The sequence below is a fragment of the Homo sapiens genome, chromosome 5 (genome assembly GCF_000001405.40).
Source record: "Homo sapiens chromosome 5, GRCh38.p14 Primary Assembly".
NCBI lineage: Eukaryota > Metazoa > Chordata > Mammalia > Primates > Hominidae > Homo > Homo sapiens.
In genome coordinates this window covers 16,538,856-16,561,982 of record NC_000005.10, presented here as the reverse complement: position 1 = coordinate 16,561,982, position 23,127 = coordinate 16,538,856, and the positions used below count along the sequence as shown (strand labels likewise).

Sequence of the window (23,127 nt, the reverse complement as noted above, 5' to 3'; positions counted from 1 at the left end):
TCGAGGCTTTCTCTCTAACTGTGGTTGGGGAAAGATTAGACAAGCTGAGCTAGGGTAATTTCAGTGGATTTGAAAAAGCACTCCATGCTCTTTGACTCAGGGTTCTTTCAGATTTACTGAGACTCAGTTTGACTGGTCAAGGTATTTTCTCCCCTTCTTTCTTGCACCCACAACCCTTCTGAATGCATCTAAAATTTGCATGTGAGAATTTCTGCTGTGCTGTCTCTTAATACAGAAGCTGTTTGAGTGTTTAATGATGATTTGGAAAAAATATTAGCACAGCAGAACCGAAGGACATACTTTGCTAACTGTTAGGTTTGGTTACGGAGTGAGAAGCTCCCTATTCTAGGGCTTTTGTTAGACTTAGGCTATTTCTCTCCTTTGGGGAAGTGCTCACATGTCCCAGAGAAGGCAGGCTACTGGAAATACCATTTATTTGTATTTGTATTTTATTTTATTTTATTTATTTTATTATTATTATTTTTTGAGACGGAGTCTTGCTCTGTCGCCCAGGCTGGAGTGTGGTAGAGCGATCTTGGCTCTCTGCAAGCTCCACCTCCCAGGTTCATGCCATTCTCCTGCCTCAGCCTCCCGAGTAGCTGGGACTACAGGTGCCCACCACCATGCCCAGCTAATTTTTTGTATTTTTAGTAGAGACGGGGTTTCACCATGTTAGCCAGGATGGTCTTGATCTCCTGACCTCATGATCCGCCCGACTCGGCCTCCCAAAGTGCTGGGATTACAGGTGTGAGCCACTGCGCCCGGCGGGAAGTACCGTTTATAGGAAGGGTCTTATTCATTCTAGAACTGGTTAGGTGTATATCCAGGTACAGCTAACTTTCATTCTGGTCCCAACCCTGCAGCTCGTGGTCCTGCCAACTTCACTTCTCTTTCGGCCTCAGGTTTTCATCTGGTTAATGGGAGGTACAAGTGAACTGTTGCAAGTACCCCATACAGCCTGAGAAGTGTATGATGGTGCAATGTGAGGGATTTATGTGTCCCTTTCATATTGTTGTCTTTTTACACCAAAGGGATACTTTCCTCGGTGTGGCCACTGCAGTTTCCAATGTGTAATGCTATTTACCACATTGGAGATGTGAAGTTACATACTTATTCCTTGAATTTCTTTGATGATTCGATATGTTGTCTGCAGTGATTCTTAGCATCTGGCACTAGATAGTGCTTATATTTTTAACACTGAAAAATTAAAGAACACTTTATTTCAAGAACAAAATACAGTGACTGATAAGTAGATCTTTGAAGGCAGACAGAGGTGCTCTTTTGCTCATGTGAGCCATGTGGGATTAGGGTTTTTTCACCTCCACATTCACAGGTGCTGAGCTCAGAAACCTCCCCCTCACATGGCAGGAGCTAGAAATCACCTCCAACTGCCCTTTGGCTACACAACTGAGATTCTCAGGTTAGTCAGAAAGGCTTAATTTTTCCTCCTTCTTCATTGGGCTAGATCTCAGGATAAGCCAAGCCTTTTTTTCCATGGCGTTTCATGACCTTTAAGAAGCATTCCTAGCATTAATTTCACTGTTTAAAAAAAGTGGATCAAATAGTGGGCCATTCACCACTCACAGTGCCATTGTTAAGCTTTTACATTGAGAAGGAACTTCTCCTTTCCTTCCCTACAATCCTAATGGCTCGTTATGTAGATCACAAACTATCATTTACTCTTTGGGAAAAATTGCTTTTGTCAACTACACTAAGCTTAAAGTATTTCCTTCAAAATTTAGCATAAACGTGGTAGTAGATATGTACACTTATGCAGGTGTGGTTTTTCTGGATGTTTAAAGAGTATTCATAAAGTTCACAAATGTCACACTGAATGTAATGGTAAACCCAGGGTCTAATTTCTGATGGCCTCATCAACAATCAACATTAGATAATTTTAGTCATATGCCATTCACATGTCAATATTTGTACCTGGAAAATTCCTTTGTGAAAATGTGGTTCTCAGTGGGTATGTTCTGAGAAGGACCCATGCTTGACCTATTTCTTTAATAAACACTAACTCTACAATCTGTGAACAGGATTTACATAGAGCTGTCTGCCAACAGAACCAAATTGACATCTTTATGGTTCATTCCTAGCACTGAATTGAAACCTGATCCATAGTATTATAATAGTTTTTCCTTTCTGCATGAAACTGTAGCATTTGATTGAATAAAGTCCTCTTAACGAATGAGAAAGTATGCATGTGACCTTTTCTGTATGCACAGCATCATTTAAAAACATAAAACTGTTTTCAGTTTGGCCAGGTTTTTCCAAGTATGTTATAAATTAGAAAGAAATAACTTTACATACAACAAATCATTCAAAATTTCTTCAATAGTTGGTACATTATAACTCAGATGAACAAGTTATTCTCATCATGAATCTTGTTTTATTGTTTGGTGCCAATTTAAAGCAATTTTTTCCTTGGCATCTAAAGCTTGAAACCTGAAAATTATGGCTGAGAGCTATCGGATTTTCTGATAGATATTCCAGGAATCCAGATGCCCCTAGCGGTGTGCTCTCTGCAGGAAGTGGATGGGGCTTCCCGAGCTTGCAGCTAGGCCATTGCATCTGATGGCCTTACCTTGAGCTGATTCTTGAGAGGCAGAGCACAGATTCAACAGAGTCAGTCTTTCCAGAGCCAGCAGGGATTAGCAAAGGGGGTCCTGAGGTTTTTTTTGCCCCTAGCTTGGTCAGATTGTGGGCGTCCTCAGCCTGTCTATCTCTCAAACTCTTAGGAGAAGCAGTTGTGTGGCCCTGATTCTTGCAATGAAATGCTCTTTTGTTTTGTGGGCTTCCAGAAAATGGCCAGTGAAAATGCTCTAGTTGGTTGTATGCTTTCAAGTAGGCGGAGGGGTTGGAGGTGGGAAGGTGAAAGGATTCAAGAATCTTTGGTTGTAAAACCCAAGTCCTTGGTGTTCACCCAGCTTATAGGCCCAGAACAAATTGGAGCATTTAAATCAGAGATGTCTAACACATTAAATCCTTGAGCACAACATTATGTCACTCTTAAAAGTAGAAAGTCATCTAGCGTTTGCTAAATTGTCTCCTCTAAGGAATGGAACTTAGTGAGAAAAATGTATTTTTTATATTTATGACTCATATCTTTATCTCAAACTTGCCTGGATTAGCCACAGATTGGCTGATCTGAATTCCCAAATAAAAAGCATTAAATGTTTACCTGATAGCTTAAGAGGTTTAATCACGCTCCATGTTAAGTGTAACAGTAATTCTGACATTCATGTGTTGTAACTACTAGACTTCACAGTTTGAATTTGTTCTAATGTGTCTTAAAGTCACCTTGTAACTTGCACTTTATAATCTTGTACCTGGACCTTGTAACTTGTACAGTAAGACTGGAACCTTGTTAATAAGGCATCATATTTGAAAGCTGTATTTTTTAGTTTTCTGTTCAGTCACAACTATAGACAGAGAGCCACATCTTCATGAGTTTAAAAGAAAATCTTGCTGTGAAGGATACATTGTTGTTTTAGTCTGTTTTGTGTTGCTGTAACAGATTATCTGAGACTGGGCAATATATAAAGGAAAGAAATTCATTGCTTATAGTTCTGAAGGCTGAGAAGTCCAAGGTCAAGGGGCCTGCATCTTTGAGGGCCTTCTTGATATGTCATCCCATGGTGAAGATGGAAGGGCAGGAGAACCCGAGAGAGCAAGAAAGGGCCAAACTCGCTTTGTTGTTGTTTGTTTTATTTTTTTTAAGAGACAGAGTCTCGCTCTGTCACTCAGGCTGGAGTGCAGTGGTGCAATCGTAGTTCACTGCAGCCTCAAACTCCTGGGCTCAGGCAGTTTTCCTGCCTCAGTTCCCTGAGAAGATGAGACTACAGTCATGCACCATCACACTCAGCTCCAACTCACTTTTATTTTTTTCATTAATTTTTTTTCTTATTTCTTTTTAAAATTTTTGTTTTTTCTTTCTTTTTTTAAATTTTGTTTTTTCTCAAACTCACTTTTATAACAAGCCCACTGTCATGGTAACTAACCCACTCCTGCTATAAAAACAATCCATTCATGAAGGCAGACCCCTCATGTCTTAATCACATCTTAATATCATCATGATGGCAATTAAATTTCAACATGAGTTTTGCAGGGGACTTTCAAACCATAGCAATTAGATTAAATTAAAAAAGCATCCCTCAAAAGAATCACTTAAATTCAGAATATGCTGGACATACGCGTTATAAGTAAGCCTATCTGTGCTTGGGTAAATCTTTGGCTGAAGAGGCCTAGGCGAGCCTGGGAACTAAGCACCAGTTTTAAAGTCTGTACCCTGCCAAAATCAAAACCCAAATGGGCCTTTTATTCCCTTTTTCAAAAATAATAATTGAGCACAATTCTGCAGTCATATATTGCACAATAGAGAGTCAAAGCCCTTTTCTTTCTCTCTCCGAAGAAAGAACAGATCCATTCATTGACTGACAGCAAGCTCTTAGCCAGAGCTGCTCAGATTTGGTCTGAAAGTTTCTCCAAGTTCTACATGCAGTTTCCAATCTGTGGTTAATTTTTTAAATTTGTGCTTTGAAAATTAGATCCACTGAAGACAAATATGAAACAAGAGACTAGAAGTAGGTTTTAAAGCTGTTTTGGAATAAAAGGATGTGGAGAACTGTAGTTATTATTTCTTACCATCAGTGGTGTACCTACATAAAAAATTATGAGTTTTAAAAAAAAGTCTCATGCTGAACAATTAAGGGCCACTCTTTTCTCTCAAGAGTCCATCTAACTCAAGTAAGTACGTGCCTAGAATGTAAGTTCAAGGGAAGAGCCTTCTAGGAAATTGACGTGGATCTTCAGGACAGCAACGGATATATTTCTTGAGACACTAAAATGATGGCCGGGTGCAGTGGCTCATGACTTTAATGCCAGCACTATGGGAGGCCGAGGCGGGCAGATCACCTGAGATCAGGAGTTCAAGACCAGCCTAGGCAACATGGTGAAACCCTGTCTCTACTAAAAACACAAAAATTAGCCAGGCATGGTGGCGGGCGCCTGTATTCCCAGCTACTTGGGAGGCTGAGGCAGGAGAATCAGTTGAACCCAGGAGGTGGAGGTTGCAGTGAGCCAAGATGGTGCCACTGTACTCCAGCCTGGGTGACAGAGCGAAGCTCCATCTCAAAAAAAATAAAATGAAACAAGAGGTGCGTATCGTATCCTAGTTGCTCTGTTGATGAGGGTGATACGTTTTTCAGACCCGTACCTGATTGCATATTCCTTTCACAGGCAACATGTTCTCCTTAAATTCAGATTTGTCAAGTCAAAACAGGAAACTAGGGGATCCAGGATTTTAGGTGGGTCTGGCAGCAGTGGACATTAGGTAACTTATCAATGATGTAATACTCAGAACTCCCTAAGCAAAAGATATTCAATGTTATATTTTCTTATAATTTATAATTTTTGTTGTTCAGGATCGTTTTTGACATTCCTTTAAGTTAATGTAATTTTATGACAATCTGATTGAACATGAGTTCAGTCACCCATTTTTCATTATTTTGGGGCTACTTCATCCTCGCTCGGTAGCTCACGCCTGTAATTCCAGCACTTTGGGAGGCTGAGGCGGGAGGATCACGAGGTCAGGAGATCGAGACCATCCTGGCTAACACAGTGAAACCCCGTCTCTACTAAAAATACACACAAAAAAATTAGCCGGGCGTGGCGGCGGGTGCCTGTAGTCCCAGCTCCGGAGGCTGAGGCAGGAGAATGGCGTGAACCTGGGAGGCGGAGCTTGTGGTGAGCCAAGATCACGCCACTGCACTCAAGCCTGGGCGACAGAGCGAGACTCTGTCTCCAAAAAAAAAAAGAAAAAAAAAAGGTGTTTCCTGTGGCAGTGCCTTGGGCCTACACAGCTGCTTGATAACAAATGAAAGGTAAAACTCTGATGGTTTTATCAGTGTTTTCAGATTCTCATAACCCCAGGTTTATTAGGTTTGATTAGTTAGCAGATCCTGAGTTATTATGGATTTGAAATGCGTGAAGTTCATTTATAAATATGGAAAATAACTCGGCTAGAATAATTGTTACCTAATAGCATGCTTGCGTCAATAAATTTAAATTATAAAAGAAAAAATGATTAGTAGTTAACATTTCTCTTAACTCATCCTATGCTGTGTTGCAGTTATATGAATACAAATTAAGATTTTGCAGGTGGTTAGAAATCTATTTCTCTTATTATTTATTTATCTATAGTCCCCAAACATTGTTACTTGTAGTCATATTTGCCTAGTAGCATTTATAAAATAACTTTAATTTTTCCCCAATTGTAAAGGTAATACAGTGCTAATTTAGGAAATCAAAAATAAAGGAAACTACACAGAAGAATACCCAAATCACTTAGAGACTCATCACCTAGAAATTAAACTCACTTTCCAATTTTTAGTTTATTTTGTTGCAGTCTTTTTGTAGAATGACATATGTGTTTGTTCATTCGTCCATCCTTTCAACAGAAATTTATTGAGTACCTTTATTGTCAGACCATCTTCTCAGCATTTGTGAAAGGGAAAAAATGTAAAAACAGGCCAAGTGTGGTGGCTCACGCTTGTATCCCCAGCACTTTGGGAGGCTGAGACAAGCAGATTGCCTGAGCTCAGGAATTTGAGACCAGCCTGGCCAACATGGTGAAACCCCGTCTCTACTAAAATACAGAAATGTAGCCGAGTGTGTTGGTTCACGCCTGTAGTCCCAGGTACTTGGGAGGCTGAGGCAGGAGAATTGCTTGAGCCTGGGAGATGGAGGTTGCAGTGAGCCCAGATTGCGCCACTGCACCCCAGCCTGGGTCACAGAGTGAGACTCTGTCTCAAAAATAAAAATAAATTAATAAATAGACAACCCTGTCCTTGTAGAGTTTATATTCTAGTTAGTGAGTCAGAAAATAATTACTGCAATATGATGTTAGATGGTGAAATGGGTTGAGTGGCAACTAAAGCAGAAGAGGGAGTAGGGAGTGGTGAGGGGCCAGGGAGAGTCCAGTTTGTAATGTGGCACTCAGGAAAGATGTTACTGGAGATTTTTGAACAAGAACTTGAAGGTGAGTTTGCAGATTGCGTCTGTATGAAGAGCTTTTAGGCGGCAGGAACAGGGAGTGCAAAGGCCCCAAGGCCCGGGCTTGTGTGAGGGTGACCATTGTGTTATACCAGTAAGTTTTGTTTTATTTTGTTATTCATGGTATGTAGCCATAGTGACTGGGATCAGTGGAATATTATGTAGCCAATAAAGATCATGTTGTAGAAGAATATATAGGGACACGAAAGATCATCCTTTATTGTTAATTTTGTATCAAAAATTGTAGATTTAAAGTAAGCGCAGTGAGGTATATGCGCAGTACATCATAATTGTATGTTGGTACATAAATGTAGTTATCTCAGGGTGAGGGGAATATAAGTGTTTTTTATTTTCTTGATTTTGTTCACCCTTATTACATTATTTTTCCTATAATGAACATTCTTTTATCAAGAGGGGAAACAAAAGACATTCAATGAAAAAGAGGGTGTGCCCGCAGGCAGGGTGAATGTGGGGAGGTGACAACCAGCACTCTGCAGGCAGCAGCACCTGGCATTTAGTTCACCTGAGTGCCCAGGGCTCCGGCTCCCAAGCTGCTGTGGAGAGGCAGGCGCTGGTTACAGGAGAGAGACTGGCACGGCCCAGTCATAGGAATCCAAGGTCAGGGACAAAGTCCAGAGAAACAAGCGAGGCTCAACGGAGAGGTTCCAGCCTCGGAAATGTCAGCATCATTCCAGGTGGGGGGCCCAGCCAGGCCGAGTGTCTTTTGACACAAAGTCTCACAGGATTGGGGTGAAGAAAAATGATTTATTTCCAAGGTCAGGTGAGATCAAAGTTCTTAAATTCTTGCTTTTTGAGGCTCAGAGGCAAGCTCAAAGGTTCAGCCTCCAGGTACAAGTGACAGGGTTGAATGCATATTCTGGTGACTTAGGTGTAAACCCAAAAATGTTTCAAGATTTGGAAACTCTTTGCATTATCCAGAATAAGATTTAAATCTTATCCTCATGGTCCGAACTGTAGTCTTTGGACAACAAGAGGGAATCTGAGAGAATATCGTGCTCTCTTTCAACAACCTATCCCTGGGTTCTGTCAGTGGGCAGGTCTGTCTGTCTGTCGGCCTACCTGTATATGTTCCTTAGGTACATGTTAGTGATCATATTGAATATACTGAATGATATTTGTAATATATATATAAGTTGTAAAACATAATAAAATGAATATACATGAACCTATTATCCAATCAGGACTGATACAGTTGCTCCCCCGCCCACCCCGTCCTGCTGCCTGCCAGAAGCAAGCATGGTCCTGAAGTTTGTGCTCCTCATTCATTTGCTTTTCAAAAAAAAGCCGCGCTTATATTTAAATGAAATATGAATATTCATACATTTAAACAAAATCTAAATATATTTAAACAAAATCTAATCTAAATATTTATATATTTAAACAAGGTATAAATGTTTATATATTCAAAGTATAGATATATATTTAAACAAAATATAAACATGTATATATTTAAACCAAGTATGAATATTTATATATTTAAATCACATATATGTATCCCTAAATAAAGTTTTTGTTTTTGAGGTGTATCAAAATGGTACCATATTTATGTGCTCTTCTAGGACTAGTGTTTTTTTTTCTTACACGTTTTTTAAAAAGATCAGTTGTGTTGCTGTGTATAGCTGTAGTTCATTCATATTTTGTGGCTGTACGATATTCCATCATGTGGACTATATCACAACTTATTTATCTGCTCTTTTTGCACTGACTTTGGATTTTTTTTTCCATAGTGTGCACTGTTTCTGTTTCTGAGTTTACGATATGGCAGTACAAATGGTCATTTAAAGGAAAAAGGTAGATGCCTAATGCTTAAAGTGAACAGTTCCCAAAGCCAGAATATTGTATATTTGAAAGGTTGTGTAAAATTTATACCAATACAAGGGCTGTGACACCTAGCATGGAAATATTCTTGTGAGTTCTTGGGAGGTTTTTTTGTCTTTAGTCTGTGCATGCTCAGCCCTGTTCTAGGGCTGGCTGCCACTAGAGGGGGTGTGAGCGATGGGACATCTGTTTCAGAGAAGCTAAGAATAGTTTGGCTACTGCAGAACCCAGCCGTGTGGCTCCAAAGTGTGATTAGTACCTACACATTCCAGCAGGGCAAAAGCATTAACGTTGTTCTAGTTACAAGAAGAAAGTCCGATGAAAGGTGACTTCTATACCTGTACCTGTGTGCACAGGTGTGCATGGATACTCATATGTTTTAGAGTAGTAGGGGGAGTGAAAAAAATTAACAGGGACTAACTAAGAGAAGTGATTGAAGGATAGATCAATGGAGAATATGACAGAGAAAGTGGGGGTGGGCAGGAAATTCACAAATGAATGACATGAATCAATGACAAATGGTTGTGTTTTTTAGTTGACAAACAAGCTAAGCATCTGTGAGGTCTCTAAGAACTAAATGGTACTTTGAGTTCATGACCCTTTTACTGTTTGTTTCTATCCACTGTCTTATATAAAATCTTTTGAATGTTGTTTATCTTGTGCTCTCCAAAGTCTTTCCTTCCCTCCTTGCTCTTTGACTTAGTCTTTTGACTTAGTATTTTCCTTTTCTTGAGGACTCCAGATCATCTTGAATTGTGAATCCTAGAAAATAACTTAATTTGCAAGTGATTGTGTGGAAAGAGGGGGTATTAGTGAGTTGTTGGCTCCCAGGCATAAATTAACCTGTTAAATACTGAGGGCAAAGGTTCCTGCTTGTTAGAAGAGTGTACAAGAGCAGTAGCTGCTAAAGAACGTCTTCCACACCATTGTGTGTTTGGGGCAGGCTGAATAGTCCCATCCACACCAAAGAAGTCCATACCGTAACTCAGAACCTGTGAATACATGACCTCAGATGGCAGGAGGGACTTTGCAGATGGGATCAAGGATCTTGAGATGGGTGGATGATCCTGGAGTATCCAGGTGGCCCCATGTCATCACAAAGGTTCTTTTAGGAAGGAGGCAGGTCAAAGAGAGACAATGCGAGGCTGCAGGCTGTGACTATGGAGCTAGGGACCATGAGTGAAGGAAAACAGGTGGCCTCTAGAAGCTGGAAGAAGCCAGGAGACACCATCTCCCCGAGAGCCTCTGAAAGGAATGCATCCCAGCTGACCCAGATTAGAGTCTGGCCACCAGAACTGCAAGATGATGGATTTTTGTGGTGTTCAGACACTAAATTTGTAATTTGTTACAGCAGGAATAGGAAACTAATCTAGTATTTCTTATGATGTGAAAGAACCAGCTTTGATTTGGAAATGTAGAGGGCAGTTTTTCCAACTCATGTCTCCATCTATGAAAGAATGAAGTTTGACCCTGATTTGTGGGAGAGCTTATCCTGAAACAAGGAGGGCTAGAGTGACATGGGGTGGTAACATTTTTGGGAGGGAGCCAAGAATGGGCCTGGGAGAATGTCCTTACTGGGCAAGTAGAAATAAGAAGGTTTGATGAAAAATGAACCAACATGGCCAAGGTAGTCAAGAAGAGTCATGAAGATGCCATGCTTGGAAGCCAGGGAAAAAGAGTGTTTTAAGGAGTCAGCATTAACTGGGTTCTAAGAGCACCAGGGAAAGTCACTGGATTGTATAAAAATGTTTTTGGAGGCCTTTATCAACAGTTCTCCATGTTTTTTTGTTTATATGTGTGGAGGAGGAGGGGAAGGAGCTTTTTAGGAGTGAAAAACCAAATTCAAGGGCCTGAGGATGAGATGAGGGCTGAGAAAATGGAGGTAGGTAGTGTGAATCACAGTTTGGAAAATATTGCTGGTAAATGAATGGAGAAAAATGAAACAGTGACCGGGAAAAGAGTAGCATGGCTTTTGTTGTTATTTTTAAAAATTGTGATAAAATGCATATAACATAAAATTTACCCTGAGTGACATTTTGTACATTTACAAGGTGGTGCAACCATCACCACTGTCTAGTTCCAGAACATTTCCATCACCCCAAAAGGAATTCTGTAACCATTAAGCAGTCAATTCCCGTATCCTCCTCCCTGCGGCTCCTGACAACCACTGCTTCCCCCTCTATGGATTTGCCCTATTCTGGATATTTCATATAAATGGAATCATGCAACATATGAATTAGCATAATATCTTCAAGGTTGATTCATGTTACAGCTCTTATCAGCACTACATTCCTTTCCATGGCTGAATACTATTCCATCATTTGGATAGACCACATTTTGCTTTGTCATCAGTTGACGGACATTCAGGTTGTTCCCGTCTTTTGATTATTCTGAGTAGGGAGCAGCTCGGTTTTATTTTGTTTGGTTTTGTTTTCAAAATAGTGAGAGCTGACTCTGTAGGTGAAGGGGAAGAAGCATGCAGCAGGGCTGGATGGCTTTTGTCCACCAGGCAGTGTTTTCTGCATGCAGCCTGGCAGCTTGCAGTAGAGTCTGATCTGCCACAAGGGGGCAGAGTTATGTCTGGGGGACAGGTGGACTGGCAGATGATGGGCGTGGCTCATCATCCATAAATATTGGAAAATTGACGATAGCATTAAGTAACTGCAGATGCTGTAATGGCAGCTGGGGAAGTTGAATTCTAGGCACCATCAGTACCTCCAGCAGTGAGAGCATTGCTTCTAAGGGAGGAACCCAAGAATGTGCCCTTAATTTGACATTTAAATCATATTTCCTTTAACGCTTTTTTTTTTTTAAATTTTAAAGAGGAGGGACTATGCAGAAGGAAGGAAGTCGACATTATTATTTAGAGGTATTTGGCAAAAAGAGGAAAAGATACATGGTGTAGTATCCTCACTGGGGTGTCATGGTGTAGTATCCTCACTGGGGTGTATTGCATTATTACTCACGTGCTGTTTATTAGTTCTGTTGAAGGTTATTCTTACTTGTGCCTGTTTTTAATACCTGAACAACTGGGAGAGAGGACTTATAATCCTGCAGTCATTTGGCTTGTATTCTTGGAGAGTATTTTTAAACTATAACATTCAGAGCCATCTCATGTCACTTTAACGCCCGAGCAGTACTTTCACTATTTACTTCTCCTGGACTACAGACCTCAGATTTTGCATCATATTTTCACGAACACAGAAAATACATGTTCTAGATTGTTTTTGATGTTTTCCTTATTTTGGGGGGCCAGTTATTACAATCTTTATTAAAATGAGTGATATTTTCAATCATGACTCAGGAGTCATCTGCTGTGGCACGAAAACTGAATTCCATAGCTTATTAAGCTGAACATCCTCAAGTCAGAACTGCTGTTTATGTTGAATAAATTGCACATTTAAATACTTTTGTTCCCCTGGGGCTAAGTTTGGATGAAATAATCTTGCTTCCAAGGGATTTTAATGGATGTATCATGCTTGGAATATATAATGAAGACTCAGTAATTGAGAGAATGTCTAAATGGAACAGAAACTTTATTTTTAAATTGAGAAATAGGCCTGAAACTGATCTAGGGGGTCAAAGTAGGACTATCCCAAGTTTTTATTAAACAGGAATAGAAAAGCCCACCTTTCTCCACAGTTTTACTTATATTAATATATGAGCGGTTCAATAAATACATAGGTGATTGAGATGGACCATTTCTACTTCCCTAGTGGAAATAGGGGGGGAAGTGATCCCAGTTTGAGGAGTTTGTTTGTGCTCTCTGTGTAGAGCACTTAGAAAGTTAGCTACACATTGCTTATAAATTCGTCTTGTTCTTTGATGAAGGCATGACAGTCCTCCAACAGTGAAGGAATACACAGCTTGTAATAAATGAATTTCCTCAAGCTGGTTAGAATATGGGATCGATAATTTTATCAGTATCAGAAAGGTAGCTAAATTCAAGAGAAAGCTTTTCCTCTAAATACTGCCAACTGATTTCTGGAATAGAAAAAAAGCTCTTCTCTGGCAAGCAAGTGATTTTGAGAAATAGGGTGAGGCCAGTGAGAAGATGATGAGGCTGCTTGGACAGGGCTTTCAGCTCTGCTACTGTGTCAGTGACACTGCTGGTACTCACCACCTAGATTTTGCATGGCCTCTTGGCCTGGGATTCTCTTGATTTTAGTCTGCTCAGGCAGCCGTAACAGAATACCATAGATTGGGTGGCTTAAATAACAGATATTTATTTCTCACAGTTCTGCTAAGCAGTCCTGCTCACGCTCCCCTCACCACCCTGGTGTCTGATTGATTATGGCTCCTCATTTATGTTATAGAAGGAGAGAATCCAGACAAAATAGTAAGGTGTATCTGTTTAAAATATTTTCAGTCAAGAAGGTTATAACAGTATTCTCAAGATCCTTTACATTTTTCTTAATCAGCTGTTCATGGGAAACCAAACAGAAACCACATTAATAATGAATACATTATGACTCCCTCATTTGTTGTACTTTTCTTTTTATTGTGTAAGGACTGAGTATGGCCAGGTATGGCTAGGTTACAGTAAACAAGCATAAAATCTCGGTGTCATACAATGCACATTTATTTCTTGCTTATGTTTCTGTGGATCAACTGGGGTTCAGCTGGTTTAGGCTGGACTTGGCTTTAAGATTTGGGTTGCATCCAAGCTTACTCCACAGTCTTTCAGCCTCATTGGACCAGAGGCTACTTAAAGTGTGTTATTCTCATGGACAAAGGCAGGAGGGGCATAAGAGCACAAACCCAGTAACTCAGGTACATTTCACGCCTCCACCTGCTGATAACCAGGAGGCCTAAGCAAGTCACATGGCCAAGTCCAAAGCCAAGAAGGGAAAAATACCTTTGGCCACACAAGGCCATGGTGAGAGTATGGACGTATAACACTACTATAAGAGAGTAAAGAAATGAGTCTTATAATTTAATCTGATATGAATTTTTTTACATTATTAGGTAGGAATTCTTTATTTCATAGAGTTGTGTGTTTTTATTTTGTATTTAGTGTCTTTCAAAGCTCTTGAGAATAGTTTTTGATGTGTAGATATATATATATTTATGTACTTATAGGATATAAGCTTATAAGTCCAATCTCCCCATTTATTTTTAAAGATGGCTACTTTAAATACGTTCTTCTAACCCTCAGTGTTTTGTTGGTGTTGCTTGAATTTTTTTTACCATAATTATTAATTTTATCCAGCATTAATTTCAAAGAATGTACTCAATACCTGATTATTTCTCCCTCTTTCAAAACCAGAACAGTTTTACCCACTAATAACATCAGATTATAAAATTGTTGGCAGATTTGACGTTAAAATGTTATATGTGTGCGTGTTCACATATTCAGAGCTAAAGGGGTTTGTAAAACCTGCCGTTACATGACTGAACACATCATGTACCTTTATATTTATAGAAGGGCCTCATTGTACACATTGAAAGGGGAACTTGGAAGAATCAGATATATTCTTTGGCAAAGTCTCACGCCTGTTTCTGCAGCCTAAATCAATGCTACTGAAACATAAGTTATTTATTTTTGGGCCATAAATTAAATTCCCATTGTTGCTAATACTCATGGTTTTCAACAAAAGTTAAGAGCGCCAACAGTTCCAGGCTCTGCGGGAAGATGGTTGAAAGGGAATGTGGAATGTACCAAAGGTTTTATTTTTATTTGGAAGAAACCAAATACCCCTGTTTTCTGTTCAGGAGTTCATTAGTCATCTATGTTTTCCTCGGATAAAATAGCTCTTATCTTGGGCCTGACTCTGAAATTCTTCCCTTGAATTTCTTGTGATATTTGTAATGGTATGAAACACTTTGGTTGTGAGTAGAGAAAGGAGGTGACACTTTCCACAGTCACCCTGTCGGTCTCTGACAAAGCTGCTGTTTTAGATTCCTGCTTAAACTTTGGGGCCACCTTCCCTGTGGGTGTCTTGAGCTGTAGACTTCCATTGTTTATTAAATACCTGCTCTGCAGAAGGCAGACCCTGCCGGACCTATAGAACGGTCCCTCGCATTGTGTCAAGATTTTGTTGTATTTCCGTTGATGTCAGAACATGGGGAAAAGGTCTCTGATATCAGAGAGGTGGTAGAAATAACAAGAGAGTTGTCCATGGTTGGGCTTTGAAGCTGTGGAATTCACCTTTGAAGTAACTCTAAAGAGATTCTGTTGCTATTTGCTCTACATAAAGAGAGAGTCTGTGCCACCAGAATAAAAATAGCTGTAAGTATTACATCATCATCAGAAGTTTTCATTGGTTCATCAGGCCATGAAGGGAACAAGTCCATGGTGATATTTAGATAGATTTCTGTTTTGCTCATTGAAATGATGATTTTAAGACAAAGCAGGAAAAAAGGTAGGAGGGGGAGGGATGACTGAAGAAGGCCACCACATTTATTTTGTACACACTGATTAATATTTCAAAATTGGAATCTGGCACCAATTTTTATTTGTATTTAATCAGCACCCTATTTTATTCCTGTTTTCTAACCACCTGTTATAAGCATGTGTCTCCTATTTCTACTATCACAGCATCTTTGGGGCAACATGTTGCTTCTAATGACTTACTCTTTTCTAAAGTCAGACATTTATCTCAATAATATAAAATTTTGGCCCAGTGCATTGGCTCGTGCCTGTAATCCCAGCACTTTGGGAGGCCAAGGCAGGAGGATGGCTTGAGGCCAGGAGTCCCAGACCAGCCTGGGCAACATAGCAAGGCCAAGTTGCTACAAAAAACGAAAAATTAGCTGGGCATGGTGGTACACCGCCTGTGGTTCCAGCTGCTTGGGAGGCTGGGGTGGGAGGATCACTCAAGCCCAGGAATTTGAGGCTGCAGTGAGCTGTGTTTATGTCAGTGTACTCCAGCCTAGGCAACAGAGACAGACCCTGTGTAAGAAAAAAAAAAGATATAAAATTTCAAGATTTGTGCAGTGGAAAAACAGATAGACCAAAGGAAATTGTTTTCTTTTTCATGTTTGTTTCTTTCTTGGGATTTCAATCATTGTATCTCACCTCTTTGCTTTATATGACTGGTGCAGGCATAAAATCGGGATTCTCTCATGGAAAGGGAAAGGGTTTAGCTCACATCTGCACGGCATGCTGCCTCTTGTAACCCAGCACTGCCTCCCATCCAGCATGCCTTCTCCTTCCCTAGCTACCTAGAGTGACTGTGCTCAGTGCCCTGGAGGAGAAGCATCCTGGACACATGGAACGGTGGCTCTGAAGAGCTAATTTACCCTTCTTTCTGAGGAAGCTTCTGTGCTGACAACAGACAGAAATGCCCTCGGTCTAGCATCAACAAAGGAGGAATTATTATTTGGACTTGGGGCATCTTATGGAAGCTGAGAGAAAGAAATGCTAGGAACAGGAACCAAGACGTTCCCAGGAACAGAAGCAACTTAAAGCCTCCTAGGAATCAAAGGAAGCTGACAGGGAGCTTGGAGTCAAGTGAGGGGCACCCAGGGAAGGGGAGGATAGTGGATGCTGCTGCTGCTGCTGCTGCTAAACTGTGAATTAACTGTCCTCTCTTAGTGCTTAGTATTTGCCAGGCACTGTGCTGAATGCTTTCTGCGTATTACCTAATTTATCCTCAAGACAATTCCATGAGGCAGGAATTAGCAGCCCCCTTTCAAAGACAAGGACACCAAAGCTTCCTTAAGGGACTTGGCCAGACTGATGGGTTTCACTCCTGCCTCTCTCCCCCTCTAACACCAATGGGCTTCACCTCAGCATTCTACCATATCCCATATCAAACAGTGCATATCTTTCCCCAGCTCATAGCTTCTTAAACAGTATTTAGGAAAATAAAGGTATGGTTAGGAATTTCAAACAAGAATTTTAAAATGTTTTCATCACATTGCAAGAATGAGGAAGCAAGCAGAATTTGAGGATTGGAGCTGGAAGAGCTTGTAGGGGAACCCGAGCTGGAAGTAGCCCTGATTCACAGGACTCTCCACATACTGGAGAGGTGAGCTGTGCTTTTGCAATTGAAATGTGTTGCTTTGCTGTTATTCAAAGCTTATTTTTAATTGATTTGAAGCCTGCTTTCCTCTCAAAATAAGGCTGTATTTTTAGTAAAATGTATTTTCATATGTTGTCACATAAGCTAATTGTTTTCTTGGCATACATTTTGTTCCTATTTGTAAAAGAGTAAAACCTTAGGAGATAATGTGGCCCCAGTGGAAGAAACTTTGGAGTCTGAACAAAGCAGTTCAGCATTCTAGGCCTCATTTTGCTTATTGGCTAAAACACAGTGAGTAGGCTTATTATAAAGCTGTGGTCATCAAGACAGTGCAGTAAATAGATCAGTGGAACAAAGCAGAGAGTCCAGAAATAGACACACGCATGCATGACAACTAATTTCCAACGAAGGTTCAAAGGCAGCTCATTGGTAAAAGGATGGATCACCTTTCCAACTAATAGTTCTAGGAAAATTTAATACCCGTATGCAAAAATATGAACTTTGATCCATCCCTTGTACCACAAACAGAAATTAACTCAAAAGGGAACATGGGCCTAAATGTAAACCTAAATCCATAAACTCCTAGAAGAAAACACAGCTGAAAGTCTTCATAACCCCAGGTTAGGGAAAGATTTCTTAGATACAATATTATTGGGATGATCCACAAAAGAAAAATTTGATAGATTGGACTTGATCAAGATGACAAACCTTTGATGTTTAACTGACATAGCTAAGGGAATGAAAAGTCAAGGCATAGATTGGGAGAAAATATTTGTGAATCATATATCTGATAAAATACATTTTTTCCAGAATGTATAAAGAACTATTAAAACTTGGCAATAGGCTGGGCATGGTGGCTCATGCCTGTGATCCCGGCACTTTGGGAGGCTGAGGCAGGCGGATCACCTGAGGTCAGGAGTTGGAGACCAGCCTGGCCAACACGGCAAAACCCCGTCTCTACTAAAAGTACAAAAATTAGCTTGGTGTGGTGGTGGGCGCCTGTAATCCCAGCTACTTAGGAGGCTGAGGCAGAAGAATTGCTTTAACCCAGGAGGCGGAGGTTGCAGTGAGCCAAGATGGAGCCACTGCATGCCAGCCTGGGTGACAAGAGTGAGACTCCGTCTCCAAAAAAAAAAAAAAAAAAAAACTTGGCAATAAACAAACCCATAAAAAATCCAAGAGATTTAAACAGACACTTCAACAAAGAAAATAAACACATAAAAAGATGCTCAACATCATTAGTCAGTAAAGTGGCGAATTATAACCACAATGAGATACCACTATGCCGATTTGAATGGATGAAATGGAAAAAAGACTGACCATACCAAGTGTTAGTGAGGATGTGGAGTGATTGGAACTCTTCTTATATATTGCTGGTGAGAATGAATATCAAATAGTATAACCATTTTCTCAAACAGTTTGGCAGTTTTTTTTTTTTTTTTGAGATGTTGTCTCTCCCTGTCGCCCCGGCTGGAGTGCAATGGCGCGATCTCGGCTCACTGCAACCTCCGCCTCCTGGGTTCAAGTGATTCTCCTGCCTCAGTCTCCCAAGTAGCTGGGATTACAGGCGTGCACCACCATACCCGGCTAATTTTTGTATTTTTACTAGAGATAGGGTTTCATCATGTTGGCTAGACTGGTTTCGAACTCCTGACCTTATGTGATCAGTCTGCCTTGGCCTCCCAAAGTGCTGGGATTACAGGCGTGAGTCACCTTGCCTGGCCCAGTTTAGCAGTTTTTTTAAAAAGATAAATATACAACTACCATGTGATTCAACAACTTCCTCTCTTAGATATTTAGCTAAGAGAAATGAAAACAGGTCCGCATGTAAATGTTCACGGCAGCTTTATTTGTAATAGCCGAAACTATCTGTCAGCAGAGGTGAGTGCATAAATAAATTGTGGTATATCCATATGGTGGAATACTGCTCAACAATAAAAGTGAGTGAATTATTGATACAAATCAAATAACATGAAAGAATCTCAAGGTAATTATGCTGGATAAAAGAAGCCAGATAAAAAAGAGTACATCCTGTATGATTCCATTTGTATGAAATTCTAAAAGTGCAAACTAATCTACAGTGACAAAGCAGACCCGTTCTTGTCTTGGAAGGGAAGGAATGGTGCAGGGAAGCATTAAAAGGGGTACCAGAAAACTATGGGAGGTGATGGTGGTATTGATTATGTTGATTTTGGTGCTGGATTCATGGCTGTATAGCTCTGTCAAAAGTTATCAAACGTTAAAACTTATGCGCAGTTTATTGTAGGTCAGTTATACATCAATAAAGCAGATCCAGCGATGAGCACTAATACATGAATGAAAGCACCGTAGAGGTAGTGGCTGTTCTGTTAAGAAGTCAGTAGGAGTTTCATGGAACTGTCTGCAGCTAATTCCAGAGCTAGTTCTGACATCCTTTCACATTGCTGAGACATCCCCTTTGACTTTTGAGAGTAATGTATTACATTTATTTATTTAATTTTTCTTTGAAGATGCCTTATAGATTCCTAGTACACAGATGGACAAGTGTAGACCTGGATTATGAGCTGTGTTTACTTAGGGAATGGCTCTGGGCTGCGTTGTTTGTATGTCATAAAAACAGAGACTGCAGTAGGTGGTTGGTTGGAGGAAAACAGGTTCTATTGACTATCGTTGGTTGGAGGAAAACAGGTTCTATTGACTATCGTCTATTGACAGTCTATGACTGTCTTCCGTTTTTCAAAAGCCCTGTCACCTGCTACTGTTGTATACCGATGAGCAAATGACACACATACATGCTGTAACCTCCCCTCAGCTGAGAAGCCTTCAGGCAGAAGTCAGGTGAGGTATTGTTTTTGTTTGTTTTTCCTTAGAAAACTCTACCATTAAAGCTCCTGCCTTTACGAATCCGTGGTGACAGAGAGAGCAGTGGTGGCCTGTGGCCGCAGAGGGGCCTGAGATGAGGAGGGTGAGTGGGTGTATTTACAGTGGCTGTTGGAAATGTTCTGCATCTTAGTTGTGGTGATTTTAAGAGTGTAAACATCTTTCAAAACTCACCAACTTTCCTGCTTTAAATGTAGACAGTTTATTCTTTATCACATCTACCAAAATAAGGTTATTTTTCAGACTCCATGCCTTTCTGCCCTCAGCCTTAGAACATAGTGGCCCCTGAACACAGCTATTAATAAAATAATCACATTATTGCCTCCTGTGTAATTTCTCTTAGGAAACAAGACTAAAACCTCTTGTTTAGTTGTTTCAACCATAGATGTAGAGATTAGTTTTTATTTTTAAACCTGGATGTTATTTCTTTCTATCTGACCTACCTTCCCCTTCCTTCCTTTCCTTCCTTCCTTCCTTCCTTCCTTCCTTCCTTCCTTCCTTCCTTCCTTCCTTCCTTCCCTCCCTCCCTCTCTTCTCTTCTCTTTTCTTCTCTTTTCTTTTCTTCTTACTTTCTGATGGAGTCTCACTTTGTTGCCCAGGCTAGAGTTCAGTGGCATGATCTTGGCTCACTGCAACCTTTGCCTCCTGGGTTCAAGGGATTCTCCTGCCTCAGCCTCCTGAGTAGCTGGGGTTACAGGTGCCTGCCACCATGCCCAGCTAATTTTTGTATTTTTAGTAGAGACAGGGTTTCACCATATTGGCCAGGCTGGTCTCGAACTCCTGACCTTGAGATCCGCCGCCTCTGCCTCTCAAAGTGCTGAGATTACAGGCGTGAGCCACCGCACCTATCTTCTATCTGTATTTCTAAGAGCAAAGTCAAATGTGAAATCGAGGCAGTTCGTTTTAGTGAATTGTCTTGGTCCATTTGGGCTGCAGTAACAAAATACCTTAGACTGGGTAATTTACAAACAATGGAAATTTATTGCTCACTGTTCTGGAGGCTGGGAAATCCAAGATCAAGGCACTGACAGTCAGTTGTGAGTTCTGCCCTCATGATTGAATCATTTCCCCAAAGACCCTGTCTTTTGGTCCTATCACACTGGATATTCAGTTCTAACATATGAATTTTGGAGGGACACAAACATTCAGACCATAGTACAAATTAAATATGACAGAAAGTGTGATTATTTGTTGTATCTTCTGAAATGAGTAAGGTCTGGGGCAGTGCAGCGACCAAGGTGGGATTCCTTCTGGAATCTCAAGCATAGTGATGGTGCTGGTGCGTAATAAGTACTTGTTTACCTGTCAGTTGACTGAATCCATGCTTTTCCCCGTCTACTTGGCCTGAATAACCCATTAGACAACAATTCTACTCCCCGGTCCCCATGGTTAACATAGACATAGTGGAAAAGATGCATGGGAGAAATTAGCCAGCCACTGAACATGTCTTCATGACATGTCTCGCATCTCCTCTTCTTGTTGCCTTCAGTGCTCAGGTCCTTGGGAGGCCTGTGGCTGGTGTGAGGAAGACCTGTTGTTTCCTGTTTGGTTCTTCTGGGGATGGGTGAGCTAATGCATGTGGAGTGCCCAGCACCCGTGTTAGGATGGAATAGACACAGTGTTCTCTTGCTCCTTCCTGTCCCTTTTATATAATCATCTGTTCATTCCCAATTACTCATTACCAAGTCTGCATCTTTCCCAGATTTGATTTTCTTACAGTGGTGAAGTGAATCATTCACTGGTATGTGTGTGAATTTCCAGAATCAGAGAGTTTGAGATTCTCAGTTTTTAAGATCCTTTCTGTAATAACTGAATTCATGGTGGAAAGGAATCCGTTACTTAGCCCTGCCCTGTATTTGCCGAAGGTGGGTATTCCTGTGTGACATTAGCCCACTCATTGCTTTATCAGTTATTGACTTGATCAATGATTCTGCTCAATAAACAAGGCTAATAAGGATAATTTATTTGCTGTTAGGCAATTTACAAGTCCTTCAACTGCATCAATAGGATAGAGATCATTGCCATAGGAAATACAAACTGCTGTATAAAAGCCTGTTTTATTGGTAGTTTTTAGCGGGGGGATCCAGGCTTGGATTAAGAAATTCACTTTGGATTCCTAGATCTCCATCAAAAAGGGTTCCAAAAGTACTGCTTTTGATAAATCTACTCACTGAGTGTCTGTATTCCTATCAGTAGCCAAACCCTTTGTCCTAACCAGAAAGCACTCAAGAATATAAATAAAATCATAGTAAGCTTTATATTTTAGAGGATTATTTTAACATGCGCATCCTTCAGGAGGAATTCTTATCTGTTCACTTAAAAATGTCATTTCCATTTTCTACACCAAGGCAATATTTAAAAAGAAAAGTTATTTTAAAACATGTCATTCAATTCAGTTATATTTGATAAGTGCAGAATTAAGTCCCAGCATTATTTGACATCTAAACATCTGGTGAATAAACTACTCATTAATTTTTGACAGTTTCTCAAAACACGTTCAAGGCAAGTCGAGGAAGTGATGACAGCGTCTCCTGACAGAGGTGTGAGTTCTGCCCTTAGCAATAGTGAAGTCACATCAGGGCCCCGGTACCGGGACAGTTGGCTTTCCTGGTGGTTGATTGGAAAGGACTGGGAGGCTCAGTTGCAGGAGCAAGCATGGGACAGCTTGTGCAGGGAGCTGGGCGGGAGGAGAGTGCCGAGCAGGAGGAGATGAGGCTGGGCAAGTTGGGATCAGCGGCTGTATTTTGACCTTTCCTTGTCTCCTGGCTCGCTCCGACCGACCGGGCCCGGGATTATGAAACATGTTCTGGAAATTATTTCCAGAGGGCACACGTCCCTCTGGTGACAGCTTATTTCTGGATTCCCGGTGCAAATGCCTGGACTCTGATGACATTCAGGGGTGTGTTTCATGGCCCATCATCTGATTAGTCACTGAATTCTAAGGACTTTCCCTGCTGGCTTCGGGTCAGAGCACATGAGTGGAGAAGCAAAATAACTTGTTTATTTCCTCCAGGCTCATCTGAACAGGCCATAAAGGCAGGCCCTTCTTCCTCCCTCGGGTGGCCCCCTTTATGGATGTACCTCCCCATTTGGAAATGGAACACTCTGGCCCTTCACAGGGAAATGGTCTCAAGGCAGAGCTCTTAGAGGTGCCTTATACTGATGTCTGGGCTTTATGTCTGGAGAGATGACTTCAGTCACCTGAAAAATCTTGGAATGCAGAGTGAGTCTAACAGATTCCGACAGCCTAGCCTCAGTTTTATTTTGAATAAGAATGTGTTTATCCCAGCACTCTGGGAGGCCCAGGTGGGCAGATCATGAGGTCAGGAGATCGAGACCATCCTGGCTAACATGTTGAAACCCCGTTTCTACTAAAAATACAAAAAATTAGCCGGGCATTGTG

General features: G+C 40.8%; 1 protein-coding gene across 3 annotated transcripts in view, besides 1 other annotated feature; it reads left to right on the top strand.

Moving 5' to 3' along the window:
• RETREG1 (reticulophagy regulator 1) overlaps positions 1–23,127 on the top strand; it is a 143,945-nt gene that overhangs the window by 55,015 nt on the left and 65,803 nt on the right. Inside the window, exon 1 of one of the 3 annotated variants that reach the window (XM_011514055.4) lies at positions 19,109–19,682. The exons of the other annotated variants lie outside the window; for them this stretch is intronic. Coding sequence (XP_011512357.1) covers positions 19,624–19,682 — 59 coding nt within the window. The 5' untranslated portion in view covers positions 19,109–19,623. Of the gene's footprint in view, positions 1–19,108; positions 19,683–23,127 lie in introns of those variants that run through there. 3 annotated transcript variants of the gene reach the window in all.
• Positions 8,969–9,263: a silencer, noted in NCBI's record as "tiled region #7449; HepG2 Repressive non-DNase unmatched - State 12:CtcfO". NCBI's record gives its function as "represses a minimal TATA promoter and a strong SV40 promoter by Sharpr-MPRA in HepG2 cells {active_cell/tissue: HepG2}" and the evidence as "EXISTENCE:reporter gene assay evidence [ECO:0000049][PMID:27701403]".